This window comes from Homo sapiens, chromosome 20 (genome assembly GCF_000001405.40).
Source record: "Homo sapiens chromosome 20, GRCh38.p14 Primary Assembly".
NCBI classification, from domain to species: Eukaryota; Metazoa; Chordata; class Mammalia; order Primates; family Hominidae; genus Homo; species Homo sapiens.
In genome coordinates this window covers 821975-832092 of record NC_000020.11, presented here as the reverse complement: position 1 = coordinate 832092, position 10118 = coordinate 821975, and the positions used below count along the sequence as shown (strand labels likewise).

Below are 10118 nucleotides of genomic sequence, written 5' to 3'. Positions count from 1 at the left end.
GAATTTCTAGGATTACAGGCATAAGCCAATGCACCCCTCCCAAATTTTTTTGAAGTACAGTATGCTTCAAAACACTATGTACAGCATAAATATGTATTAAATACATATGTATATGTGTATAATCATCTATAATCACAGCAGTTAATTTCTTCTTTGTGTTTTTGTGAATTTTCCAAATTTCCAATACTTGAACATGTCAAAAAAGTATATTTTTAGGGGGATTAGAATGAATTAACTCTAAGGGCCTTTAAGGTGAGGAAATTTTATAGCAGTCAGTCTGAATTGCTCAATTTGGAACCAGCTTCTCTGTTTCATTCCAGCTGGTGTCTTTTATTCTTTGTTTGGATTGCCAATAATTGAGAACTTACTGCGTAAACCCCTGGGTGGGCAGGGGAGGGAGCTAATAATATATCAATAGCTAATAATGATTGTACACTCTGGCATGGACACCAACCAAATCAGAGCCAACCACTGTCATAAACAGGGAGTCTGCTGTATCCGTGAGGACCAGCTAAATATCAATCCTGGCCCTGTGCCCTCTGCTACATTGTGTTAGGGCTTTATACACATCATCTCATTGGACTTCATGACTATCTAAGGCGAGAGATCCTGCTATTATTCCCATTATATAGATGAGAAAACTAAGGTCGGTCTGGATCCAGAATGAATTCTCTGATCCACTCTGTTACATTCCCTTGTAAACATGTGAGAACTGTTTGGGAGTAACAGTGAGGTAAGGCAAGGGGGATCCTGTGATCCTATAAGACACAAGAGAAGATTGAGCAGGTAGCTTCAGCCTAGGGAGACTTCTTTTTTTTTTTTTTTTTTTTTTTTTGAGACAGAGTTTCACTCTTATCGCCCAGGCTGGAATGCAATGGCACGATCTCAGCTCCCTGCAACCTCTGCCTCCCAAGTTCAAGTGATTTTCCTGTCTTAGCCTCCTGAGTAGCTGGGATTACAGGTGCCCGCCACCATACCCGCTAATTTTTTGTATTTTTAGTAGAGACAGGGTTTCAGTATGTTGGTCAGGCTGGTCTTGAACTCCTGACCTCAGGCGATCCACCCACCTCGGCCTCCCAAAGTGCTGGGATTACAGGCGTGAGCCACCACGTCCAGCCCTAGGGAGACCTCTTTAAGAAAAAATTACAGATATGAAATTAAGTAATAAAGTGAAGATTTGGTTAGAAAGAGACAAGAAACCACAATAAGGTGGCTCATGCCTGTAATCCCACCACTTTGGGAGGTCGAGGTGGAAGGAGTGCCTGAGCCCAGGGGCTTCAGACCAGCCTGGGCAACAAAGCGAGATCCCCAGCTCTACAAAAAAATTTTAAAAAGAAATTAGCTGGCCAGGCATGGTGGCTCATACCTGTAATCCTAGCACTTTGGGAGGCCGAGGCTGGTGGATCACCTGAGCTCAGGAGTTTGAGACCAATCTAGACAACATGGCAGAACCTCATCTCTACTAAAAATACAAAAAATTAGCTGGACGTGGTAGTGGGCACCTGTAATCCCAGCTACTTGGGAGGCTCAGCCAGGAGAATCACTTGAATCTGGGAGGCAGAGGTTGCAGTGAGTCAAGATTGTGCCACTGCACTCCAAGCTGGACGACAGTGAGACTCCGTCTCAAAAAAAAAAAAAAAAAAGGAAAAAAGAAATTAGTCAGGCATGGTGGCACGTGCCTATAGTCCCAGCTACTCAGGAGGCTGAGAGGGAGGATTGCTTGAGACCAGGAGGTTGAGGCTGCAGTAAGCCATGATTTCACCACTGCATTCCAGCCTAGATGACAGAGCAAGACCTTGTCTCCAAAAAAAAAAAAAAAAAAAAGAGAAATTGCACAAACGTTACAAAACGCAGAAAAATAACATTCTTTTTATTAGCTGCCTGTCTCAAACACATCTGTAATACTTTCCATAAACTAGCTGCTGGCTCCGTGTATACATTCAAACCTCTCCTTCACAGTCTTGTGGAACTGAGTGCTGTAGGACCATTCATATATCTTGAGATATAACCTCTGATCCTGAATCTTGATGCCACGACAAGTTGAGTCAGCTCAGTATGCTCGGTATGGATATATTCCTGGAAGCCATTTCAATACCAGGTCAGTTAGTAATAATTTTTCACAAAAGTGACTGGAAACAATATAAATATATCCCACTAAACCCAAAGTAAATGTTAAGGTCCTTTTAGCAAGATGCCCAAACTGCTCACACCAACCCCAACATCATCTGATGCAAAGGGAAGTTGGAATGAAAGGAGATAGTGGTTTTAACAGAATGAGGTTAAGATGCCTTACATTGGTAAATTTTACAGAAGCACATGGCCATGTGAACACATCACTAGGGTGCTTCCCAGACCTCAACTTCCCTGTTATTAACCAGGAATGACAACAATGGTGTTGACCAAATTCTTCTCTGAGATATGTAACTTTAATCAGGGTTGGGAGATATTTGAGATACCTGGATAAAGGCCCTGCTCACTGACCCTTGCGTCTTCAAGTTTGCCTCTGCCATGCACAGCCGAGAGCTTAAAATTAGACAAAACAAAAACCGAGAGGCCCATTCCTAGATTGAGAAAGTGAGGCAGAGGGCAGAAGGAACTTGTCAGGATCCCAAATTAGGCCATGTAAAGAGAGATCATCTGGGCGCACTCAGATTCTAGAATTGTGGGCATCTTTATGTGCCAACAGCATATTGGTCTTCTATTTTCAGGACTATATTAAGCACCTGGTGCCAATTCAGAGTATTCAAGTCCTCCCAGTCCTTCTCCTCCCCCACCATGGGGAGTGGTGAGAGAGAAGAAAAAGGCGGATAAACTGTCATTAACTACACCCAGATCAGAGAGAACTGGGCGGTCTGTATGGCCTTATCCTGACCCAGCACATGAGCAATGATAACATCTCGCCTTGTTGACAGGCCTATGGCTGGTTCTGCGTGTGGGTTTTGCCTCCTTCAGAACGTTGACCTTAGCAGTATTTTTGCCACTCAGCTCGAAACCAAGATGCAATCAGCCCCAGATGTCAGCTCTCTGTCTCCTGTGCACCTATGGCTCTGTTTTCTTTAGTTTCATTTAATTTAAAGGGTGTTCTCTCTATGTGTGTTTACTTGCACCTGAACTTTTCTGGATTTATCCACCAGAAACTGGTCCCAGTGGTGGCTACTTGTGCTGACTGAGGGGAAAGGGGTGGGGGAAAGACTTTTATAAAATATTTTTGGCCGGGCGTGGTGGCTTATGCCTGTGATCCCAGTACTTTGGGAGGCCAAGGTGGGTGGATCACCTGAAGTCAGGAGGTCAAAACCAGCCTGGCCAACATGGTGAAACCCCATCTCTACTAATAATACAAAAATTAGCAGGGCATGGTGGTGGGCACCTGTAATTCCAGCTACTCAGGAGGCTGAGGCAGGAGAATCACCTAAACCCGGGAGGCGGAGGTTTCAGCGAGCCAAGATCGCACCATTGCACTCCAGCCTGGGCGACAAGAGCGAAACTCTGTCTCCAAAAAAAAAAAGAAAACATTTTTATACCTTTTGGATTTTGTACCTTGTAAAGGTATTATCTATTTTTTTAAAGTAACATTTTAAAGGCATTCTATGAAAGAACAAAATAAGGTAGTGAAGTAAAAGAAAACTCATCCCAAAATATGTCCTTCCAAACACTGTGCATGAGAAGGTAAATTGAGATGTTGCTACTGAAGGAGAATATAGTTACATTTATTTATTTTTTAAATTTTTTTGAGACAAGGCCTCACTCTGTTGCCCAGGCTGGAGTGCGGTGGTGCAAACACAGCTCACTACAGCCTCGACTTCCCAGGCTCAGGTGATGCTCCCACCTCAGCCTCCCACGTAGCTGGGACTACAGGTGTCTGCCCCCATGCGCAGCTAATTTTTCTGTAGAGACAGGGTTTTGCCATGTTTCCCAGGCTGGTCTGAAACTCCTTGACTCAAGCAATCTGACCATCTTGCCTCCCACAGTGCTGGGATTACAGGCATGAGCCACCACGGCCAGCTATAGTCACATTCTTTTTTTTTTTTTTTTCTTTTTGAGACGGAGTTTCACTCTTGTTGCCCAAGCTGGCACCCTCTCAGCTCACCGCAACCTCTGCCTCCCGGGTTCAAGCAATTCTCCTGCCTCAGCCTCCCGTGTAGCTGGGATTACACGCATGCACCACCATGCCCAGCTAATTTTGTATTTTTAGTAGAGACGGGGTTTCTCCATGTTGGTCAGACTGGTCTCCAACTCCCAACCTCAGGTGATCCGCCCGCCTTGGCCTCCCAAAGTGCTGGGATTATAGGCATGAGCCACCGTGCCCGGCCCAGTCACAATTCTTTGAAAAAATTAAATGCTGTATCAGTGGACTTGTACTCTGATCCAGCAACTGTGCATTTAGAAATTGACCCTAAGCAAATAATTAAGCTGATTCAGAAGGGCTTAATTAGAAGAATACTTACTATGGCATTGCTACTTTTTTTTTTTTTTTTGAGATAGTCTCACTCTGTCGCCCAGGCTGAAGTGCAGTGGCACAAACACCGCTCACTGCAGCCTCAGCCTCCCGGGTTCAAGTGATTCTCATGCCTCAGCATGAGGCATGAGAAGAATCACGCCCTTCTACTTGGGAGAAGTAGCTAGGATTACAGGCGCACACCATCACACCTGGCTAATTTTTGTATTTTTAATAGAGACAGGGTTTCACCATGTTAGCCAGGCTTGTCTCAAACTTCTGACCTCAGGTGATCCACCCACCTCGGCCTCCCAAAGTGCTGGGATTACAGGCATGAGCCACTGAGCCCAGCCTGGCATTGCTATTAATGGCAAAAAGAAAAAAGAAATGAAAACCACCACAAGCTGATTAGCTGGCCACAGGGCAACAGGAATGGTGAACGGGACAATAAGACTCTCTCAGGGCCTCTCATGAGGTGTCATCTGAAGGCTGGACAAGGGTAGTTCACTAACATGACTGGCAAGTTGGGACAGATGTTGCCTGGGGGCCTCAGTCCCTCCCCAAATGGCCTACTCCACAGGGCTTCTTGAGTAACCTCAGGACATGGCAGCTGGCTTCCCTCAGAACTAGCAATCCCAGAGATCACGGTGGGGTTGCGATGGCTATTATGGCCTAGCTTTAGAAGTAACCCACAGTCACATCTGTCATATGCTATTGGCCAAGCATGTGGGATGTGAGATGTATTGGTGTGGCCATCCTGGGGAGACACAGTCTGCCACCCCAGGTTATTCCAGTGTGTAGCAGCCAGGGTTGAGGACCATGGAGCCTGCAAGCTTCATAAACAAGGAAACAGAGCAGGTAGGAACAATGCATCAGCCAGAGGGAACGTTCGGGGTCACAAGCAAATTCTTTCATCTTTCTAAGCTTCAGCTTCCTCGCCTGTAAAATGGGAGTTAACCGTGCTGTATTAGTTCGTTTTCACGCTGTTGATAAAAACATACCCGAGACTGGGCAATTTACAAATGAAAGAAGTTTAATGGACTTCCACAAGGCTGTGGAGGCCTCACAATCATGACCGAAGGCAAGGAGGAGTAAGTCACATCTTACGTGGATGGCGGCAGGCAAAAAAGAGAGCCTGTGCAGGGAAACTCCGATTTTTATAACCATCAGATCTCGTGAGACCCATTTTCACTATCACAAGAACAGCGCAGGAAAGACCTGCCCCCACAGTTCAATCACCCCCTACCGGGTTCCTCCCACGACACATGGGAATTGAAGCAGTTACAAAACAAGATGAGATTTGGGTGGGGACACAGCCAAACCATATCACATGCCTACTTCCCAGGCTTGTGAGAGGCACCCTGAATGACCCTCTGCACCCTGTGGCTGTTGTTTCTGCTGCTATTTTGGGTGGTTTGTTTGGTCAGTATGAGCTCATGAGGCTGTGTGTCCCAAGGTATCACTGTCTGTCCAAACCCACTAAGGGCTCTCCAGTATGCTCTGAATTCCATGGCCTTTGGGAGCGGACCGTGGTCAACCTCATCCATTATCACCCTCCCACTCGGCCCAGCTAGCTCCAGCCAATGGCGCTGGTCTGCTTGTCAAATGCACCAAGCAACCTTGAGCCTCAGAACCTTTGTGCTTGCTGTTCCCTCTGCTTGGGTTTCTCTTCCCCCAGACAGTCATACAGCTCTCCCTTACCTCCTTCCACACTTCCTTTGCATCTTTGTTCAAATGTCATCTCCTCTGGGAAATCCCTCCCCACTTCCCCCATGGTTCCTGTGGTCTCTCTGCATAGCGTTCCAACCTCCAGACATGTGGTGTGGCCCCTGCTTGCATGTTGGCTGTCTCCTCCACCAACTGTGAGTGCCCAGAAGGCAGCATCCACACTTCTCTTGCCCACTTGTCCCGCAGTGAGAGATTCGCCATGCCTATCTCCACATTAAAGTCTCTGAGAAGTATTAGAGTGGAAACTTCTTTCTCTTTGCTTACACCACATTTCCCAAACACATTTAACCCTGGAGCCCTATGTCCACACAACACTTATGAAACGGTCCATAGAAATAGTGAAAACATGGCCAGGCATGATGGCTCATGCCTGTAATCCCAGCACTTTGGGAGGCCAAAGCAAGCAGATCATTTGAGGTCAGGAGTTTGACACCAGCCTGGCCAACGTGGTGAAACCCTGTCTCTACGAAAAATAAAAAAATAAAAATGAGCTGGGCGTGGTGGCGGGTGCCTGTAATCCCAGCTACTCAGGAGGCTGAGGTAGGAGAATTACTTGAACCTAGAAGGCAGAGGTTGCAGTGAGCTGAGATCGTGCCACTGCACTCTAGCCTGGGTGACAGAGTGAGACCCTGTCTGAAAAAAAAAAGAAAGAAAAGAAATCGTGAAAACACTGTCTCCAGAGGGTGGGTCTCCAGGATGTGATGAGGGACACTTCCTTCTCTGCCAGTGCCCCCCTTGAAAGCACAGAGTGCTTCCCCTGGGACACAGGGACTGCCCTCAGTATCCAGTTCCCCACAGCCCGTGCCTCTCAAACCACCATCACTGCCTCCAGCTCACACCTTCAGAAAGAATCGGGCCCAGCTTCCTATGGGAGCACTCCAGGTCTGAGGACATGCCCCACTGGCTTAGCCACACTGTGGGCCCATCTTTAATGGGAACAATAATTTCCCCTACGATGTAAGATGTCACATCAAGTCTCTGAAATGATGCTGGCAAAGCTTTTAGCACAGAGCCTGCCCACAGCATGGTTCTATAAACAGGCATTATGCTAATGATGAGATCAGAGGGCATGAGTCTGCTCCGGCTGCCAAAACAAAATATCAGAGACTATGTGGCTCAAACAGCACACATCTATTTCTCACAGCTCTGGAGCCTAGAGGTACCAGATGGAGGTGCCAGCTGATTCAGTCCCTGGTGAAGGCTCTCTTCTTGGCCTGTGGCTGGCCACCTTCTCCTATGTCCTCACATAGCTTTTCCTTGGTGCATGGAACTAGGGAGGGTTAGAGAGTTGGTGAGAGACAGAGAGAGAAATCCCTCTTTCTCTTCCTTGTTTGTTTGTTTGTTTTTTGAGATGGAGTCTCTTGCTCTGTTACTCAGGGTGGAGTGCGGTGGTGCAATCTCGGCTCACTGCAACCGCCTCCCAGGTTCAAGCAATTCTCCTGCCTCAGCCTCCTGAGTAGCTGGAATTACAAGCATGCGCCACCACGCCCAGCTAATTTTTGTATTTTTTGTAGAGACAGGATTTCACCATGTTGGCCATGGCTGGTCTTGAACTCCTGACCTCAAGTGATCCTCCTGCCTCAGCCTCCCAAAGTGCTGGGATTACAGGCATGAGCCACCATGCCTGGCCTTCTATTTGCTAATTTGTTTAACAGAGAGGAAGCCTCAGACTTGGGGCTAAACCGGCATTTTTCTTTGTTTTCTTCTCTAAAATTTGTCTTTTTGAGGTGGTTTATACATAAAATAAAACTCACCAACTTTGAATGTACACTTTGGTGATTTTTGGCAAATGTATACAATCTGTAACCACCATCATCATCAAAAAACAGTTTGGATCACCCTAAAAAGTTTCTGCACCCCTTGATATTGTCAGCTCCCTCTCCCCAACCCTGGCAACCAGTGGTCTGTTTTCTTTCTCTCTAGTTTTGCATTTTCTAGACAATCATATAAATGTAACCTTTTGTGTCTGACTTTTTTCACTTGAGGCTAGACTAGAGTAACATTGTTTTATTTCCATTTCATTATTTTTTCCTATTATGTTTCTACTTGTGGCAGATGAAACTGGTTTTCCATTTACAGAGCTGGTATAACATTTCTTTTTAAATTAAATCTATTTAAGTGAAGGAGAGTAAGTTCACTTAAGAAATAGTAAGTGGAGTTGGCTACAATTACAAAAGTGGACTGACACAAGTCACTGGTATTTGGGAAACCCACATTGGACACGTGGGGGAACCAAGGCCCAGAAAGCGGAGGTGACCTGGCCTGGATCACACGGAGCAGGTGGCAGAAGCCGAAGGGGACAGATGGAGAAGGCTGGGGGGAGAGGTTTGGGTCTCCCCTAGGGTTGGGGGTGGGGACCCTCCCCTCCCCAACACTGCAGCCTGTGCTGACAGAGAGGTCGAAGGTCAGAGGCTGAGCCTGACAGATGGGATTTTGCTGGGGAAGGAGGTTCCCGAGGGTGGGGATTTGGCCTTTGTCCTCATAGCATGCAGACCTCTCCTAAAAGGAAACGACCTTGTCCCCGTGGGCACTGCCCAGCCCCAGATGGCAGGGCCAGGCCAGAGGGGCGTTGGAGGCAAGGGAAGGCAGAGCCCCTCCTGAACAGGAAGGTCATGGCCTGGGACAGAGTCTTTGTGGGAACTAACACCCAAGACCCTCTACCCAGGGCTGGCACAGGCCTTCCCAGCTTTCAACCTGACTCTCTGCTTCACATGCAAATCAGATGCAAATGAGTCAACAGGCACTGGGAGCCCCGCCTCCCTTCCTCTCTGCTGGGGCCCCACAGGCAGGCGGGTCCAGACACCCAGGACTTCCAAAGCCAGGGCCTGTCTGCTCAACACCCTCAGACCCTCCACAGGGGCCGGATATGAAATGGGCTCCCCTGGTCCATCTCTGCCTGGAGGCTGCATCAGAGCCTGGGCTGCTCCTGCCTGTCCCCACCCATCCTCCACCCAGCACAGGCGGACCTTTCAGAATATAACTCCTATCCCATCCTCTTCCCACTCAGAACCTTCCACTGGCCTTCTGCGGCTCAGGCCTGCCCTCCCATCCTTCCCCTCTCTTGTCTCCTCTGGGACCTCAGACCTCCTCTAACCGAGCCTGTGCCTGGTTCTGTCCCTCAGCGCCCAGCTGGTGCTCACTTTGGGGCCTTAGCACAGGCTGTTGCTCCATCAGGAACACCCTTCCCCTGGTTCTTCTTCCCCTGCAGGTGCCTTCTCATCCACCTCTCAGCTGAAATAAAGTCACCCCTCAGCAAGGCCCTCCTAATGCTCTCTTCCACAGCAGCTCCTGTCAGTCCCTCCCACCACGAGTGGCATCTTAAATTATTTCATATGTATGTTTGCTTGTTTTTCTTTGCCTCCCACACCCCAGTATAAGTTCCACAGAGGCAGCAGCCTTGCCCCATTTCCAGTGCCTAGAATACTGCTTGGGACATAGTAGGTGCTCAGTAAATATTTGTGAGTAAATGAGCCAGGCACGGTGGCTCATGCCTGTAATCCCAGCACTTTGGGAGGCTGAGGTGGGTGAATCACCTGAGAGGTCAGGAGTTCGAGACCAGCCTGGCCAACATGGTGAAACCCCATCTCTACTAAAAATACAAAAATTAGCCAGGCATGGTGGCTAGCGCCTGTAATCCCAGCTACTCGGGAGGCTGAGGCAGGAGAATCGCTTGAACCTGAGAGGCAGAGGTTGCAGTGAGCCGAGATCACACCATTGCACTCCAGCCTGGGCGACAAGAGTGAAACTCCGTCTCAAAAAAAAAAAAAAAAAAAAAATTGTGAGTAAATGAGTTAATGAAGGACCAAATGTGCATTCTGAGCCCCCCGAAGAGGCAGACATTTATGAGTGGGAAGCGTAGTAGTAATGATCCCTTATTCATTCAACAAGTGTGCCGCACTACTGCTATGTGCCAGGTGCTGCAGTAGGGGATGGGGGTACAGTGGTGAGCAAGACA

General features: G+C 47.8%; 2 annotated features.

Annotated features, from left to right (window-relative positions):
• Positions 2597-3160: a transcriptional cis regulatory region, noted in NCBI's record as "candidate enhancer chr20.80 targeted for multiplex CRISPR interference". NCBI's record gives its function as "positively regulates FAM110A gene expression in K562 cells {active_cell/tissue: K562}" and the evidence as "EXISTENCE:mutant phenotype evidence [ECO:0000015][PMID:30612741]".
• Positions 8316-8847: an enhancer, noted in NCBI's record as "H3K4me1 hESC enhancer chr20:803889-804420 (GRCh37/hg19 assembly coordinates)". NCBI's record gives its function as "activates a minimal SCP1, AML or CMV promoter by ChIP-STARR-seq in naive H9 embryonic stem cells {active_cell/tissue: H9 hESC(naive)}" and the evidence as "EXISTENCE:reporter gene assay evidence [ECO:0000049][PMID:30033119]".